This window comes from Homo sapiens, chromosome 5, assembly GCF_000001405.40.
Source record: "Homo sapiens chromosome 5, GRCh38.p14 Primary Assembly".
Taxonomy (NCBI): Eukaryota; Metazoa; Chordata; class Mammalia; order Primates; family Hominidae; genus Homo; species Homo sapiens.
Genome location: NC_000005.10, coordinates 76,060,876 through 76,080,746, shown reverse-complemented (window position 1 = coordinate 76,080,746; position 19,871 = coordinate 76,060,876). Strand labels below are relative to the sequence as shown.

At 38.7% G+C, this 19,871-nt stretch overlaps 1 protein-coding gene and 2 pseudogenes across 1 annotated transcript in view; all 3 read right to left on the bottom strand.

Moving 5' to 3' along the window:
• SV2C (synaptic vesicle glycoprotein 2C) overlaps positions 1 to 19,871 on the bottom strand; it is a 506,476-nt gene that overhangs the window by 273,193 nt on the left and 213,412 nt on the right. The gene's annotated exons all lie outside the window — the stretch shown is intronic.
• On the bottom strand, positions 782 to 1,948 carry LOC100132039 (spermine synthase pseudogene; annotated as a pseudogene).
• On the bottom strand, positions 4,827 to 5,216 carry SAP18P1 (SAP18 pseudogene 1; annotated as a pseudogene).

Below are 19,871 nucleotides of genomic sequence, written 5' to 3'. Positions count from 1 at the left end.
TCATTGCTCTCCTACACCTCAGGACTTTTGTTCCTCAATGCAGGGTGTCGTCTTGTGATGCTAAAAAACAAGCTGTGAAAGACACCTAATGAGCATGAGAGGTCTGTTTTCGCATCAGCAAAGTGGTTTTCATAAAAATAATTCACACTAAGTACAGATGCTATAGTGGTTATATTTTATAATATACACAAGAAGCACAGTGCCTAGTACACAATGGGTATAGAATAAATGTCAGTTGCTCTTCCTCTTTTAGTAGTCAGGGCAAGGTTTTCCAAAGCCTGCGCTTTGGAGAACTGGTTTTGTAAGATGCTCTGGAAAGTCAGAGTTACACCTGGCTTCCACAGCAGATGTCTGAAGACAGCCCCATACTCTTGGACCAAGTCCACACAGCTCTCCACTTCTCCTCACTATCATCAGGAGTCTATAGCAAAGTGCAGACACCTACTCTTCTTACCCCAACACTCAGCTTCCACAACACTCAAAACTATTTTTTGTCTCTTTTGTAATTTTAATCGAAGTATTACTATTCATTTTTTTTAAACTCTGTCTTATAAGCACCACATTTTAATATCTAAGTCAATATTGGGTGAAAGAAACACCACCAAGAACTTCCCTCCAGAACAAAACAATGATGTTCATTCCTCCAAACATCCAAATTGAAAGTCTATCACAACCAAAACAAAAAAACAAAGCCCACGGAGAAATAAAAAGTAACAAAAATCACATTCTAGGGTGTTAGTGCATTTGGCAGTCTTTGCTGTGCTGTTGAACCATCCTTCAGCTGGCTTTCAAAAAAAAAAACACCCTAAGCTCATCAAAATATACATTTGCCATTTGCTTTTTAAAATTAAAAATAATAATTAAAAAGAAAACTTCAAGGAATTCACAATCAATTGCCTGACTTGTTTCAATGTCATGTACAGCATATGGAAGTGAAAAAGGCCATTTGCAGCACCTGTGATTAAGGGATATTCATCTTCAGGGTTTAGCTTTCTTCCAGACAGCGTAAAATACCCACAATTCGAAGTTTGAAGGGACATAGACGATCTCCTTTGAGAATTCCACAAGGCAATACAGGCACCCAAGCTGTTCTTCATAGAGTGGCAGGGCTTCTGTCAGATTGACACAGTTTGCCTGTGTAAAATATTTCCCATCCTGTTTCAATACATTCATTCATGGGTCAAAAATCAGTCTGAGAAACTCCCACATGGAATCTTGTTCCAGAGATGTGGAGATTGGAACAGCTGTCAAATCGTTAGTCACACAATCCAATTCTCTCCCTTCTTTGGTGTGCCTCTTCAGTATTGGAATGCAGTCTTCTATCAGAGCCTGATAGCAGCCTCCTTTAAGATTGTCTACAACATCACCACATGTTTTTTGCATATATTTCTTACATCCATCAATCACCATTTGGTCAATCTCTACCATAGTGACCATCTTTGATTTTAGTTTGACTATTTCTCATAATATGCCCCCATCTCAGCCTCTGAGAAGCAGTACCTCTTTGCCAGTGAAATCTGCTTTGCTGCTGCCCGTGATGGCCCAGGTATATGCCAAATCACTCTGCCGAATCAACATCCCTACTAAGGATGAGAATATTTCCAAATTGCTTCTAGTGTAGAATTGTAATGTTCCAATAAGGTGAATCTTCATTGTACACCACTTCATCTATGTCATATTCAACCAGGCGCCCATCGGTGGTGGACCAATGTCTGTTGATGGCCCCTCTTCAAACTACAGGTGGTAATCGCTTCACCAGCCCAGTACTGTCTTGACTCAATTCTTTCATTCTTTTTTCTACATTGTTTGAAAGGCTGTCGATCTCTTCTTTGCCCTGCAAGTCATCATTGTAACTCTGAAGGTCCAGCAACACCAATCCATGTAGGTAAATTCTCAAATTGGCAAAGATGCTGTTTTTGTGTTTCTGTCTGTAGGTTGCTAACTAGCCATTAACCTGCCAGGTGTGCAGACTCTGCCATCCCCTGCTCCTGGAAAATGGACTGGAGGCCTTTTAGAATGGTCTTGCCATCAGCTTTGGCACCGAGCATGAAGTTGATCTTGCTGTGCCATGCTGCTGTGACAGTGAGGCGAGGCCCTCCCTGTGCCATGCCTCCGGTAGGTGGCTGTGGGAGCCAGGGGGTAGGGGCATGCCCGTGTCAGGCTGTGGCCCGCGGGAGTCAAAACAGTATGTTTTGAGTCTACCAATGTTCGTCTTGTTAAGCCCTTAATGCCTGCTTGTATCAGTGAACACAAGAAGCCCCAAAATCTCAAGTGCTTTTCTCATCTCTTACATTCTAATACTCATAAGGCTCAGCACATCCAGTATTCTGTCCCTTTCTCACTATCCAGCTCCTGAAACCCTCTGACTATGCCTCCTGGACTTCAAAGTCCACTGTTAGCAAAATGCCCAATATCCTCAACCTCATCTCCAAGTATTCTCTTCACCTTTCTATTCTCATGGAAGTATGGCTTGCCCTCCTAAGAGGCTGCTCTCCCACAACCCTCTCAAGTGATGGCTGACTTTTCCCTCCAATGCTTGCATCACTTGTGTCTGGAGATAGGAAGGTGATGTCCTTGTTCTGCATTGCTACTTCCAGAACATTCTTCATCCCTCCTCCCTGAAACCTACTGCTATAAATCTCCTTTCATCAGGTTATTTCACCCACTACTCTTAGATGTGGCTAGCATGCTCAGACCTCCAGGTCACTCTACAACTTTCCTGATTGACTCCTAAGTTGATGTCACTTCCTGAACACTAATCCTGCCTTAATCCTTGGCAATTTAGTATACACACAGGTATTCATTCCAACCAGTACAATCCTTGGACCTGGGCAAACAAGGGGTTGGTCTCCATGCTCCATATATTAAACAACTCTAAAGTTTAAGAGGCCACCTCTCTGGTGGCCAGGTTCTATTGGTGGGGTCCTTTAAGCCTACACCCAGATCCACATGGACCCTATCCCTGTTTCTCCCCTTCAGTGTGCTCTTCAGCTTTCCTCTGACTCCAAAACTCATTGTAGTCTTGACCAAATGCCCCAAGGAGCTGCAGAGCTCCCACTTATGAAGTCAGCCATGGACATGTGGACAGGTCCTGGTTCTAGGAAGGCAGTTTGGCAAGTGGATTGCTCTTGTGGCTGGTGCCCCCATTTCCTTTCCAAAATTGTGGAAGATCAGCAACCAGAACCAGAAGGGTGCTGCCACACTGAGTTTGGGTAACTCACATTGTTTCCATAGACACCCCTGTCTCCTACCTTCCTACTCGCCCTCTTATTTTATGTTTTTAAAAATTAGTTTGTTTGAATCAAGATCCAAATAAGGTCTACCATACATTGCAATTGGTTGATATGTCTCTTAAATCTCTATTTATCTATTGGTTCATCCTTCCTTTCTTTTCCCTTCAGAATTTACTATGGATGAAGAAACCATATGTCCTGTAGAGCTCTCCACAGTCTGGATTTTACTGATTTCGTTCCCGTTATGCTATTTAACATGCTCTGCTGCTCCCTGTATTTCCTGCAATCCAGAAAATAGATCGAGAGGCTTATCAGAGGCAGGTTTTGTTTTTTTTTAAATGAAACTACTACATATGTGTCGTTTAATTAGGAGGCATATACTAATTGTCACTTTTGTGATGTTAGCAGTTGTTGATGATTATTGCTACTTATCCACTATTTCATTTGGGTTTTGCTAAATGGTAAAATTCTAATGAATACTTCTTAAACAGCCATCCTCCTATCCTTTTACGAGATGTTTGATAGTAATATGATGGGGTAGGTTTTCGTTGCCTTTTTAACGTGAGGGGGATACAAGACAAAACCTAGGACCTGCCCAAGTTATTGAATCTAATAGTGAGGCACAGCCCACCCTCCATTACAAGCAACCTGAAGGTTTACACTTTCAGTGTAAGGGAAACCAGAGATCAATGCTCCCTACCTCTACCAATATAGGGGACTGCTGAAAATGTTGCCTTGATGCTTAGTAAAGCAAGAGAATGTGGCTATGCAGTAGAGGTAGAATATGCTTACCTGAGAAATTTCAACTGAATACAAGTCATAGAGCTCTCTAGCACCAAATTCTCAACAAACTATGAATTCAGTTTAATATTGGGTTGGTAATTTCCCAGATCCCTGATAGAAAGAAATGCAAATCCTATGTGGAGGAGCCCTCCCTCATCCTGGACTTCAAAAAAAAATCACATAAATAAATGAAAGTTAGAAAATAATGAAGCACATAAAATAACAACACACAAGGAAGCATGATAACATGAAGTAGCACCAGCAGATATAACAAAAGAAACTTCAATCTTTTCCTGAAGAAAGACTTCTTTAGTTAAACTTCAATAGTTAGAACTATTGGTCATAATTTTCACTGTACTTGAAGAAAAATATGTGCAGGCAATAGGAAACTATAAGGAATAACCAATCATATTTAAAAAGGCACCAGATCAATCTTCTATCCAACTCTGCTGGTTGCCCTACCAACATCCAGTCCAGCTTCCATACACATATGATACTTTATGCTTACCTCAGAGAATCCTGATTTTATTTAGGGATTTACCTTTTCAAAAACTACACACATATATTTAACAATACAGTTTTATACAGAATGCTAAGAGCACTTTTCATATTTTACAGCAGGGCTTGAAACAATATGGACCTTCTATTAATGCTCATTCCATAGCACAACCAAATATAACTCCTACATAGATGCATTACAGTGTGTTTAGAGTTTAAAGGCTCAATGGAAATAAGATGAAAAAGACTATATAAGGAATTTTACATAACTAATTGGAAAATAAATGCAAAAAATAGTAAATAAAATTTAATATGGTCTCATGTGCCCTGAGAGAAGTGGTGCCTGGTTTGGAGGAGTAATTGCTATGTGCAAATAATCTATTTGGAACTGCTGCCACTTTAGGGTTATTCATCATTCACCCCTTTTCTACCAGACATGACACTTCCAGTTTCCTTTACTTGATAGCAATGTCTTTTAAGATCCATAAAACAACTGCAAAATTGAAGTTTGTGCCCTTCTTTCTAGCTTCTGGGTAGACTTCTTTTACTAATCTAGTCAGTTAATTCAAGGTTGCATCCATCTAAGTGTGGATCTGCCACTCACTGGACCACAGGACAGCTTGGACATGTCTTCTCTTGGTTGGTGGGCATCTCCAGATCTTTGTTAATTTCTTCCAGTGCAACGCATGACTCCACTGCCATCTTCTTCTGACAAGCTCTCGAGATTCTTGCCCAGAGCTCCGACCCCCTCAGCAAACTGAGATCTACCACTTTTCACATGACCTTTAGGGAGTGGGCTTTAGGGAATGGGCTCATTACATTCTAATTGGTCCAAATCAGTCATGATAATTCCTCTCTCCCTTTCAGTTATTGGTTTGGGCATGGATTTGTAACACAATTCTGCTCAATGACATTTGCAGGGAAGATTTCTAGACAGCTTTTGGGAAAGCTTTCCTTACTCCCGAAAATATAAATGCAGCAAAGAAGTCCCATTTGTGTCTTTAGACATTATTTGCTTGAATGTGACATATAGAACTTTGCAAATATCCTGGAATCATGGAGGGGAGGGAGCCTGATGACATAACACATGAAGGATGTAAGAGTCAAGTGAATTTCAGAGAAGTGGTGCCAGAACCCTGGTGTGCCATGTCTGGAACAGCCCTACCTCTGTTGTGTAGTAATACATTTCCTCTTTTTTATTTTTTAGAGCCACTTTAAGTTAGAGACTTTTGCTCACAGCTGAAAGCATCCTTATACTCTCTCCAGCCCTAAAAGAGCACCTGGCACACAGTAGATACTCCACAAATGTCTACTGATTTGAGTTGAGCTGTGTTTCAAGTTTATTTCTGTTGGGAAAACAAGATGGATGTCTCCATCTGTTGTATTCCAAGGTTCTAGCACAGTTACTACATCATAGAATGTGTTTGACAAATAATTGCCTAAAGTCAGAATGGCTTCAGTATCTTAACAAGCAAAAGGGAAGAAGCTGCCCCAGGCAGGGTCAGAGAAAGAAACTCGGAAGAGGTCTCTAGCCTCCTCTGGTGGCTCAAAGGGGAAGGCAGTGTGTCACTTAGAAGTGTGTGGTAGGGTAGAGATGAGAAAGGAAGATGAAAATGCCCACAAGAGATACTTTTTTCTGAAAGAGGCAGATTTTGATGTCTGGAAAACATTCTTGTTAAGAAGGAGAGAGATGAACTAAAGGAAACTCTAGGCCATTCAGGGCCGTACCCTGAGTTTGCTTTATAGGCCAATAACTGAATCTCTCTATGTTGTTTGTTCCTATATTATCTGCACATCTAGGATAAGGTAGTTTTTGTCACTCAGAAAATGTCTCGCCTCAGTAAATGTGGCATCTGGTAAGATGCAAGGAAGGGGGATGTTCCTCATGTCTCAGTCCCAGGAAGAAGAGCTACCATTACCTGAATGGTGGCTGAGAAGAGTGGAACCGCATCACACAGCATTGTGGGGTCCCAGGGATTGGTTTGGAGACTCCAAAAAGAAGTACAGCTTCCCAGAAGAAGCACAATTTACCTGCTTTAAATCACTCCATGATTACACAGTGATTTAAAGTGCAAACTCCTTTGCCTGTTCGTGTGTCTCAAATCAATGCCCACCAGAGAGCCAGAGCCTTCACTGCAGAGGAAGTTCTGAATGACACAGGCCAGGATGGTTTGACCCATCTCTGCCCTTGGCCACCCCAGTGCTTGCACAGTAGGTCTGTGAACCCTCAACCAATGAGGGATGAGAAGACATGGATATTCTGGGCTAATTGGCATACCCCACAGACTCATCAAGTTTCTCTACTTCTTTTTTTAAAATTAATTTATTTTTTATTTCAATAGGTTTTTAGGGGGCAGGTGGTGTTTTGTTACATGAATAAGTTCTTTAGTGGTGATTTCTGAGATGTTGGTGCACCCATCACGCGAGCAGTGTGCATTGTACCCAATGTGTAGTCTTTTATCTCTCACCGCCCTTCCACCCTTTTGCCTGAGTCCTTAAAGTCCATTGTATCATTCTTATGCCTTTGCATACTCATAGCTTACCTTCCACTTATGAGTAACAACATATGATGTTTGGTTTTCCATTCCTGAGTTACTTCACTTAGAATAATAGTCTCCATTTACATCTAGGTTGCTGTGAATGACATTATTTCATTCCTTTTTATGGTTGAGTAGTATTCCATGGTGTATATATATATATATATATATATATATATATATATATATATACACACACATACATACCACATTTTCTTTATTCACTCATTGATTGATGGGCATTTGGGCTGGATCCATATTTTGCAATTGCGAATTGTGATGCTCTAAACATGCATACAGCCAATTAATCTTCGACAAAGCAAACAAATACATAAAATTGGGAAAGGACATGCTTTTCAAAAAATGATGCTGGGATAATTGGCAAGCCATATATAGAAGAATAAAACTGGATCTTCATCTCTCACCTTATATAAAAATCAACTCAAGATGGATCAAAGACTTAAATCTAAGACCTGAAACCATACAAATTCTAGAAGATAACATTGGAAAAACCATTCTAGACATTGGCTTAAGCAAAGATTTCATGACCAAGAAACCGAGCACAAATGCAACAAAAACAAAGATAAATAGATGGGACTTAAACTATAAAGCTTCTGCAAAGCAAAAGAAATAATCAGCAGAATTGATAGCCCACGGAGTGGGAGACAATCTTCACAATCTATACATTTGACAAAGGACTAATATCCAGAATCTACAAAGAACTCAAACAAATCAGTAAGAAAAAAATTCCAACAGAAAGTGGGCTAAGGACATGAATAGACAATTTTCCAAAGAAGACATACAAATAACCAACAAGCATATGGATAAATGCTCAACATCACTAATTATCAGGGAAATGCAAATCAAAACCACAATGAAATACCACCTTACTTCTGCAAGAATGGCCATAATCAGAATCAAAATAATAGACGTTGGTCTGGATGTGGTGAAAAGGGAACACTTTTATACCATTGGTGGGAATGTAAACTAGTACAATCACTATGGAAAAAATGTGGAGATTTCTTAAAGAACTAATAGTAGAACTACTATTTGATCCAGCAATCCCACTCCTGGGTATCTACCCAGAGAAAAAGAAGTTTCTCTACTCCTGTGTAAAGTTAATCAAGCTATACCCACCACCTGAGATACCAAATACCACCTTCTCTACTGTAATTCTGCAGCCATTAGGGAAAAGCATCCTGCCCAGCTTCACACTTGTTAGCTCTTAGGGTCAACTGCATATATGGCTCTCATTACTTACCAGTTTCATTATAAATAATTCCATTTCATTTCCTGTAGTACAACAGCTTTTTGAGGGCAAGGACATCACATTTTCTACAATATTAAATCCCACAAACTCTCCAACACAATGCTTTTCATATGAAAGGTGCTAAACACATTTTGAATAATTGTTCACACATTTAATTAATTTTTCACATTTTTTCTTGAACTTTGTTTTCCAAAATAAGGATTATCAAGAGTTTTTCTATATAAGGAACTCATGGCTTTAAATTCTGCAGTGCCTTCTTTGGAGGGGTAATGGCATAACAATATCTGGAGAAACCTGCATATCTATAGTTTTTTTAAAATTTAGTTAAAAAAACAAACAAACATGTGCCCCTTTTCTGACAAGGGTAATCTCTTTGAATTTTTTCTCTCTCCTTTTCGTTCAGTGATTTCTCCTGCTGCTCTAAGCTCTGGAGCAAGTGTTGTGGATCCTCTGTATCCAGATGATTTATAGCTCAACTCTGAATATTCCCGTAGGTCTTCCCCATTCTCACTGCTAGAATTTCTTTTTAACATTCTACTATAGGTCTATTAATGCATTGAGTTCTATTAAATTATTTTCCTGCTCAAGGGAAAATTATCATCTTCATGTTCAGAATTTGTCTTGTATAATCTTCCTGCTCCAAATTAGTGTTCTAACACTCAGCTTTTCTATTTTAATAATAGACATGCTGATTTCCCTACATGATCTAGCTATTAAAAATGCATGTAGTAAGCTCTCAGGAAGTTAGGTTCACTTCTATTTTTAGCATGATCTAAAGGTATTGGTGCTGACCAACTTTTGGGTCACAAATGGCTTTTTGAGAAGCAGCAACACAATGAGTGTTAATGATGGAAACATTCGGTATTAATAGTCTGTCTAATTGGTTTTCCCTTTCTCTACACTTAGACTACAGCTCTTCCCTGATAATAAAGATATTTTTAAAACTATCTCTTCACTCAACTCCCAGTCCCAAGTTTGGTTTCTGGGTACTCTATTAGCCATTTCCTGCATGACAGTGCATCCTATACCAACATTAAATCTCCCATAATGCAATTTGTGCCCACTTTTATATGCATCGGCAGCTCAGAACTGCAGGTTCTTTTATAACTCCTGCTCGGTGCGTCTTCTCCACATACTTTCCAGAGATTCTCTGCAAATCACACTTTTATGACTGACATAAAGTCAAATCAAGCTTATCCTAGGTTATTGTCAATTCCAAGGGAAGGAGAAGGAAGCCCCATTTTGGCATTAGGTCTAAGCTATAGTTTACTAAAAGCTCTGTGTTTGAGGACTGTGGAGCACTTGCCTGCTCTCTCAAAAAACCTAGGAAAGAAGCGTCTACCCTTTTTCCACCTCCTTCTCATTCATCCCACGGGAGGTGGAGTCACATCACTAATGGGTACCCTAAAAGTATGGTGGGTTCCATCTTGTCCCTCTGCCTCACTGCCTCAGATATCACCTTAAGGCTGTGCAACTCCTGCATCCAGAAGAGGTAACTCATCTCCGAAGACTTCCTGAAAATGGAGGCATAGGGAGTCCTTGGAAGAAGAGAAGCTGGTATAGGATTTCCATCAAAGAGATCTCAAAACACATTTCTCCAAACTGTCCCAGAGGGAATGCAGAAGTAGCATAGTGGATAGAAGATATTCCAGATCATCACTTCTCAGAATGCTCAGTGAAGAGATTTCCTTGATAGGTAAGACCAGAAGAGCATAGAGCGCAGTGTTCATGAACTACCAAAAGATGGCTAGAACTTGACATGCAGGCTTGACATTTTGGTACCATATCATTTTTATGGCCACCTTCTACATACCACCCTTCCCAAAGAAGACAAAGTCCAGACAGTGTTCAAAGATAAGTGGGAATGAGCAGTGCTCTTAGAGGTGATTGTGCTGAGACCTCAGAGTCCCAGAGAAGGCAGAGCTATGTATTCTTACTTACAAAGCATGTCCAGATTTACCTCAGGGGAGAAGAAGAGACTGAAGTGCCACTGAAAATTGCTATCTTCTTCCTTACAGAGTGCCTTAACCTTGGGGACAGTAGAAACCTGCCTGATAGAACAAGGCCTGGGCAGGAGACAACCACAGTTGTCTCTGTGGTGCGAGATTTCCTGTTACCTGGAAACACATGCACATAAACAGGACACTTGATGAGGCTCTTTAGAGTAAAAGGAGCAAATGGAAAGAACTCTGCTTGGATCATGGGCAGGTGGGCAGTGGAAATCTGATGAGGGTTCAGGTTGGTGAAATCCCCCAGGAACTGTCTCCTCTCCAGGATGAGAGAAGCCTAGCATCCTGGGTGTGGGCTGGGGCCCTGGAGACCTGGGCTGTTCTCAGGTGTGGGGCAGGACTGGACTCCAAGCTGCAGACTGTGGAAGATGACCTGAGAGACAGTTTCCAGGAATAAGTGATAAGCCAGCACACAGTACAACTCAGGTGTCAACCCAAAGGGGCTGCACAGACCTGGAATCTAATTTTGTGTCCTGTTATCAGTGTAGGATCTGCAAACATCAGAAAATGAACCTGAGACTAACTTAGGCCACGAAAGGGTGTGTGTGTGTGTGTGTTTGTGTGTGTGTATGTGTGTGTGTGAGAGAGAGAGAGAGAGAAACGGGGGTTGGAGACAGTGAGAAAGAGAGAGAGGAGAGAGGTTGGAAGAAAACCAAAGAGAGGAGAAGCAAAGACAATCCCCAAAAGAAATGAAGAACCAGGTTTGGGAAAGACAGGAGCCAGGAGATGGCTGAACTCTCAGAAGCATCTTTTCAGGCTCTGCCTTTAGAATGATTCGGCTGCCTCTGCATTTCATCCTTGTGTGACTAGCCTGGGATTCCCGGGAGAGTCTGAAAGGCCCAACCTGGGGCACATGACAAGTGGAGGGATAAGCTGCCTGACTGATATACTCACCAGGACCACAGGGAATGTGAGGCCTGAGCGGAGGGGCCCTGTACAGGACAAAACAAGGACCTACACTACAGGGCAGCAGAATGACGATCAGGGATGTCAGAGGCTTGACTGAAAGGTAGAGAGTGCAACATGGAGAGATACCCAAAGGCAAGGGTCACTCTCCAGCACTTCCACAGCCTCATTGAGATGAGAGGATGGAGCCATGAATGGAGCTGCTCAGACAGATGGAGCAGCCATAAAGTCAGACAGATGGCCTGGAAGGGGAGGCAGCCCCTGTCCTCCTTGATTGATTCTCAAAGCATATGGTGTTGATATAGAGAATCTGCACCCCAGATTCTTGGCAGAGAGCAATTACAACTTCAAACCTTCTTCTGCTCATTTCTTATGAAAAGATCAATTGTAACTAAAACATATTTAGGAAGGAGCTGAAGACCATGCAATGCATCCATTTGATACTTTGAATGTTACACCCCTATTATGTGAGACCAACTGGGTGAGCTGCATACCTGAGCTGTTTTTCTTTTCTTTTCTTTGCACTTCATTTTTTGTATACTTTGCAGATGGTATTAATTACACTGATGCATTTGTGTTATGCCATGAACCTGTATACAACATATTATAAGAAACATTTTACTACTGTGGGGATGGTGGCAAGGGCTTTGCTCTCTAGGTCGGGCTGTGTATCCTTTAAGGTGACCTAAGGAACTTTTCTTTCAACTCTCGGTATCAGTAAAAATTATGATACATATATGCAAATAGTTTATTTTGTCTTAGTTACATTTTGTCCTCTTATATAGCTTTTGGTAAAACCTCTTTCATTCTTCTTGGAATGTTTTAAGTTATAAATAAATAAGAATATAGACAATTATTTCTTCAACTTTTTTTAGATCAGATAATTGCTACTATGTTAACTATTTTGAAGAGTACAAAGACATTGAAAACTTTCCAGTCAATTATGAAACTGGAAAACCATGACACACAAAAACCTACAGTGATAATACAAACACACACATGCACACACACACTATGGAACAATCTCAAGTGTGGACGAAGATGCAAAAATCCTGAACAAAATCCCAGCAAATTGGATATGGCATTATATATATTTTTTAAAAAAGAGTAAACACAACCTCATAGGTTTCATCAGGATGAAGGCATATTCTAGTGTTAGGAAATACATTAATAATAATCATATGATCACATAAGAAAATTCCATGATTGTATCTCAATATATGTTAAAATGTTAATTCTTAAAATTTCACACCCACTCCTGACTCTTTAGAAATCTAGGTATAAGGAAATACATTCTCAGGAAGATAATATTTATGTCAAACTGACAACCATGTTATCCTTACTAAGCAAACACTGGGGGCATTCCCATTAAAGTGAGAATGAAATAAAGAGGCCTATTATCATCAGCATTATTTAGCTTGGTTTTACAAGCTCTGGCTAATGGAATACAAATATGGACCAAAGATTTGAGACGTAAGAATAAGAAAAAAGTAGAAGAAACTATCATGATTGATAGTTTTAGAACTGTAAATGGATAAACATCAAGAGAAAGTTAATTTAGTAAAATGGCTGAATATAGACACATGGGCAAAAAATTCATAACTACTCTACATATTGGCAATAATCCATTATAAGGTATAATTGGAAAAGATACTATTTATAAAAGGAAGAGAAAACATAAAATACCTAGAATAAACTTAGCAAGAAAATTGTGACAACCACATGAATAAAATCACAACATTTTACTAAAAGATATATAAGAAATGTTGAATACATAGAGACACATATACTCTTGAATGGAAAATCTGAATATTTTGAAGATATCTATTCTTCCAAAGTCAATGTATAGATTTAACAACATACAACATCTTAAAGGAATTTTAGGGGAATGAGAAAAAAATCAGTCTAGATCCTAACCACATGAACTTTACCAAAATTAATTTCAAATAAAGAGTTATTATAAAATTATTAAGGCAGTTAAATACTAGATAAAATTGAAGTTTATATTTGTCAAACCTCTCAGTCAGTGCAGAATTTCTAAGCTTAAAAGCAATGGAAGAAATTACAAATAACAATAATAATAATTCATTGACTGCTTCCAAAGATACTGTGGAAAATTATACTAAATAACAAAGAGACTTTTTTAAGTCAAAAAATCACAGTCAGAAAAAATAACTGGAAAATATTCGTGACAAATATGAAAAAGTTTGATAGGCTTGATAGTCTTACCACACAAAACACAAATTATAAAGGAAAAAAAAAGACCTCAGTAAGTAAATGGACAAAGAAAATAAATTGCAAACCACCAAGGAGGAACTATAAATGAGTAATGAAGAAATACTCAATTTTACTAATACTCAGTAAAATACAACTCAAAGTGACAATATCTTTTTGACAAAAACATTTTAAGGGAAAATTATGTATTAGTTAATTTAGATCACATCTTTTTTCTTTAAGAACTTAAAGTAGTTAACAAATCAATTGTAAAAATTGTTTTTAAGGTGAGAAAACTAGATTGAAGCCAAAATAAAGTGAAACAGTAAGCCTTCCATGACACTGCAAAGTGAGCTTTTAAACTCCCTACTGGCCAATGGCAAAATAAACACACATAGCTGTAAGACTCCAAATGACTATGGATACCAGTTGTTCACTTTTCCTTGGCAATGAAGTCTGAGAGCAATTTCTCTACCATGCTTTTTTTTTTTTTTTTTTTTTAACAGGGTCCTTTGGTGACACAGAGGACCATGTCTTCAACAAGATCTGTACAAAGACAGTTGTGCATGGTTCTTTCTCAGAGCATCCCTTCATGTGAACCTCAGTTCAGTTACTTTTTAAAACAGGGAGGAACATATGAAGATGAAACAACACAGAATTCTGGTTCTTTTTTTTTCTTCTTCTTCTTTTTTATTATGCTTTAAGTTCTAGGGTACATGTGCACAACGTGCAGGTTTGTTACATATGTATACATGTGCCATGTTGGTGTGCTGCACCCATTAACTCATCATTTACATTAGGTATGTCTCCTAATGCTTTCCCTCCCCCCTCCCCCCTCCCCCCACCCCAAGACAGGCCCCGGTGTGTGATGTTCCCTTTCCTGTGTCCAAGTGTTCTCATTGTTCAATTCCCACCTATGAGTGAGAACATGCAGTGTTTGGTTTTTTGTTCTTGTGAGAGTTTGCTGAGAATGATGGTTTCTAGCTTCATCCATGTCCCTACAAAGGACATAAGCTCATCCTTTTTTATGGCTGCATAGTATTCCATGGTGTATATGTGCCACATTTTCTTAATCCAGTCTATCATTTTTGGACATTTGGGTTGGTTCCAAGTCTTTGCTATTGTGAATAGTGCCGCAATAAACATACGTGTGCATGTGTCTTTATAGCAGCATGATTTATAATCCTTTGGGTATATACCCAGTAATGGGATGGCTGGGTCAAATGGTATTTCTAGTTCTAGATCCTTCTAAAATGTCAGGAAAGGTCCTTTCTGATAGACCCTGAAAGTGGTTTAAACTGGTGCTGCTATTTGAGGGGTTAAGGAAAAAAATTGCAACACATGCCAAGAGCTCTAACACCATTCCTACTGTTTGGTGCAATAATCCCCCTTCCGGAGTCTATCCTAAAGTAGAACCCTAAAAGGAAACATTGCCCGCAAAGCTGTTCAATGCAGTGTTATTTCTAACAGCACAAACTGGAAATATCTTAAATATCTAAAAATAGAAGACTGGCTTAGCATATTATGGTGTACCTGTTTGATAAAATATCAAGTAGCCATTCCAATGATACCAATGGACAGTTTCTAATAACATAAAGCATTAAATTATATTAAGCGAAAAACCTAGAGTGTAAAAATTGATGTGTAGTGTGATCTCAACTACATATACTACAGCTAATAGAAACACAGGAAGGAAGTATTCAAAATGTTAAAGATTATTTCTTATTTCTCTATGCCGTTCATAAAAAATTACGTATTTCTTAACTAGAAAGAATAAATTTTGAAGTTCATTGTAGGCAGACGGCTTACTAAACAGATGTAATCACTGTGCTTAGTGTGAACTTTGATCCCCATGAAGAGGAAGCTAAGATAAATGTGTTTTTCCCATGTCTTTGATTTTTATAATTTCTGGTTTGCCACCTTCTGACAGATATTTAGACTTCTGGCCTCGAGGTATTGATGCACGATGTTTAAAAAGAAATATTTTACTTTAAAAATGTATATTCCATTTTCTATTTTCAGTCACAGGTTGCTGTTGCATAAGGTATTATAAGAAAATTTTATCAGGCAAGGGATACAATTATATTTTAAAAACCACAAAAGTTTCTATTTGCTGAAGCTACATGCACTGAAGGTTCAGATCAGTATTTTGTTCTTACTTGAAATCTTGTTTTTATATTATACGTAATAATTTTGGGGAACCAAAACATTCAGAGAATTTTTTCCAGCGAAGCTAAAAATGTGATATTAAATAAGCCTATCAACAACATCAAAACCAACCACTCACATAACAAAGGCAGTAATAAATTACAAGGTTTGTTTTCCCTTTTAAGATTCTTTTAGATCTAATACTTACGAGAAAAAGGAAGACAGGAAAATAGCTTTCTCTGTTGTTCTTTTGATTATTCATAAATACATTGTTCTTAGAATTTAGATGTGTTTGATCTTAAAATCACTTTAACAATAGAAAAAATATTAGCAGTTAATATAGCATTTTGATGTTCTCAGAACACGATATTTGAAAGAGGAAAGGTTAGGGAAAGGTTGACCTTAACCTTCTGACCATCTCAATCCAGTTCCTGCCAAAATATAAACTGGATTTCTGCTACAAGGGATCCGGAGAAGAAGGAAAACGATGGGGCCCTTCCTTGGTATTTGAATTGTAGACTCCCAGTGGCCAGGAACCATCTCTTCCTGATTTGCTCTGAGTAGGACCTAACACAATACCCCACAAAGAGAAGGCTTTAACAAATGCTTTTGGGGATGATGACGGAGCAAGTGATGTGCAATATGCAAAACTAAAACAGAGGCTCTTAAGGGCTTCACTCCAAGTAGAAACAGCTATTCACATAACAAGTTTAATGCACACATTTTTTATTCTTTTTTCTTGTGTTGCTTTTGCTTGTTTGTTTGCCACATTCATGCTTCAAGGAAGACTCCCGCCTGGTGGGAGGAGCCCTTGTGGAAGGCTCACATCTCCTCTCACGTCCAGGGCCTGAGCTCTGTGGTTTCTTTGAAGAAAGAGAATGGAATCTGGATCTGGAGATCTGGAATCTTTCTCCTCCAGTCCTTTCTCAGATTTCTGTTCCACACTCTCCTCACCTGTCCTGAAGTCTAGTATTAGCTTTAATCTCCCTCTGCATTGTGCAGCAGCGAGGGCTTATTATGAAATACCCAAAATATCTGTGTGGAGTAAGAGGATAGTCTTATATTTAGGCTGCAGCCCTCCTCATGCTATGCTGTTCTTTTCCTCCCTTGTTCCCCACCACATTGTTATCATTATGTATTTTATTCTTTTTTTAAAAAATCGTTTTTGTAAGTTGTGATTGACAAAACTCATAGGCATCCAGGGTACATCTGCCTTTCTAAATAATTCAAAGGATATCATGTAAAATTGTTTAAATGTTGTTTATATCTCCTCAAATGTGTTTTAAAAACACTCAGTAAAAAACAAATAAGTCCTTTAGGAATAAAATGCAAGTTTCTTGGAGAGGCAAGGTTATAAAACTGTGGTGTTGAATTATAAAATCTTATTACATGTTTCAAAAACTCCATCTGTATTTCTCTCAGGGTTCTTATAAACAAAAGAGTATGAGACAATTCAATTGGAAAAGGAATCTATTAAATGATGTCAAGCTGCTCAAAGGATATTGGGTCCTTCGGGAAGTCCTCTGGGAGGACCATAGGCTCAGGAGTAAAAGCCTGCATAGTGGGAGTGAATGTCCAAATCACATTATGGGCTGCTCAAGTGAAGATCTCCTGGCCATCAGCACTGGGCACTACTACCATGATTCTACCACCGATGGAAGGCCAGACCCTTCAGCATTGCTGCCTTCAAAGAGCCAGACACCTTCACTGACACTTTTACCAGTAAATAGCTGCAGCACAGTGTATGTTTTGCCACATTCTTTTTTTCTCAAGTGAAGCCTTCACAAGGTGTCCTAGGATTGGCTGAACCTAGGACACATACCTACGTATTTGCCGCAAGGAAAATGAGGAAAGAATTCCTAGCTTCCCCTCTAGAAGGTGGGACACAAAATGTAGGAAATCTCACAAACACATAGGACAACAGAACAAGACAAACTTGCTCTCGATAGGAGTGAACAATTCATCAGCCCCAGGAGGGAGAGGAGTCCAATGAAGGGGACAATTGCCTTCTGACTGGGTAAAGATTATCACATATTATGAATACATAAACTAATTTTATCTTCCAGTGTAAAGCAGGTCATTTTAATAGACCAGGTACAGTGTTTATAGAGTTAAACCAAAGTATGAAGAAAGCCCTCACCATCTCAGGAGGAAGGGCAACATGGCGGATAAATAAGATGAGATAACACTCCACGTTTCTCCATAACATGCAAATTTGAATGCCTGCTTCGTGGTCAGAAAAATCAATGCAATTCAAAAGAGGTATTGCTTTATTCTCTGTACTGCTGTAAGAGCTCATGTGGGTTTAATTAAAAGCAACCCCAATGAGTTGGCTGGCTGCCATGGTAAGAAATGTAATATTACTTTTGATACTTTCATCTTCAAATTGACCCAGGCCTGTGACATGGTTACAATAAAGAGCCTTTCTTATTTCACTGATGTTTTTGCCAAGTCACCAGGGTAGACAGCCATAAAGCAATAACAGAAATTAAACATAGGAAAATTACACAGTTTTTTTTTTTTTTCAGACACAACCAAACCCTGATATCGAAGTTCATGTAAACATCTGTCTTAGTCCATTTGTGCTGCCACAAATCAAAGTACCACAAACTGGGTAATTTATAAAGAACAGAAATTTATTTCTTACAGTTCTGGAGTCTGGAAAATCCAACATCAAGGTGCCAGCAGGTTCATTGTCTGTTGAGGATTTGGTCTCTGCTTCCAAGATGGTGCCTTGTAGGCTGCATCCTCTGGAGGGAGGAACATTGTCTGTCTCATGGCAGAAGATGGAAGGGCAAAAGAAAAGCTACTTCCATCAAGCCCTTTTATAAGAGCACCTAATCCCATTCACAAGGGCTCTACCTTCATGATGTAATCACCTTCTAAAGGCCCCACCCCTTAATATTGTTACATTGGCAATCAAATTTCAATGTGAACTTTGGAGGGGACACAAACATTCAAACCATAATACCATCTATCAGACTCCTTCTCATCCCCTCCTTTCCATACTCTAAAAATTACACCAAATAAAAAAAAACTACCCAGTTTCTATTAGATTGAAATGGCAGCAGGTTTAATAAACGTTTTAGGGGTCACTAAGCTACTATACCCAGGGATAAAGAAACATCAGGAAAAATGGAATCATTTCAGCTAAACACTCCTTCCTGATTTTGTATAATAACAGGTTAAAAAAAAGCCAAAATTTGCATCATTCTCTGTAAAGAAAATATTGTATCTTTGCTTTGCACTTGACATTAATATCATCGTGATTACTTGATCCATTTTTGCAATTATCTTCATGTACATTTACTTCAAAATGTCCATTTTAGAAAGAAAGTTTCAAATGAATGAACACAGTAGCATAAAGTTTATGGGGCACGTTCCTATACCTCTCTAAATACTCTATAATTCTGCATGTGACAGGGCTTCAATTCATATAAGCAGATAAGGATAATAATGTTTGATTCTCTATCGCCAAAATTAAAGCACAAACACGAGGTCTGATTTTATTCCACATAGATACAACACACTTAGATATAATTCTTACCCAGAATAAAATCTGGGGGCAGAGGAGGACAGAATTTTATCTTTATCTGACATAGCTATCTCTGAATCAAACAGGGTTCCTTGCTGGAATAAAGGTGACAAATCCAGACTTTGAGAAATTATTAGAAATTAATATGGGGAAATGATTTTAGTTATTTGATTTTGGTAACAAAGGTAACGCAGTGATTCACTGTTTGTCATGAGTCAAAATATTTGTGATCCTTTACAGACCTTTGGAAATGATTTAATACAAGCATACTTTGTTTCTTAAATTGCACTTGGCATTATTGCATATTTTTCAGATATTGCTTTTTTTTTTTTTTTTTTTTTTTTTACAAATTGAAGGTTTGTGGCAACCTTGCATCAAGTAAATCTATGGGGACCATTTTTCCAACAGCATGTGCTCATTTTGTCTCTGAGACACATTTTGGCAATTCTCATAATATTTCAAACTTTTTCATTATTATTACATTTGTTATAGTGATCTGTGATCAGTGATCTTCGATGTTACTATTGTAATTGTTTTGGGGCACCACAAACTATGCCCATATAAGATGTCAAACTTAATCAATAAATGTTGTGTTTGCTCCACCAACCAGCCATCTCCAAGTCTTTCTCCCTCTCCTCGAGCCTCCCTGTTTCCAGGGACATGAAAATATTGAAATTAGGTCAATTAATAACCCTACAGTGGCCTCTAAATGTTCAAGTGAAAGAAAGAGTTGCACAC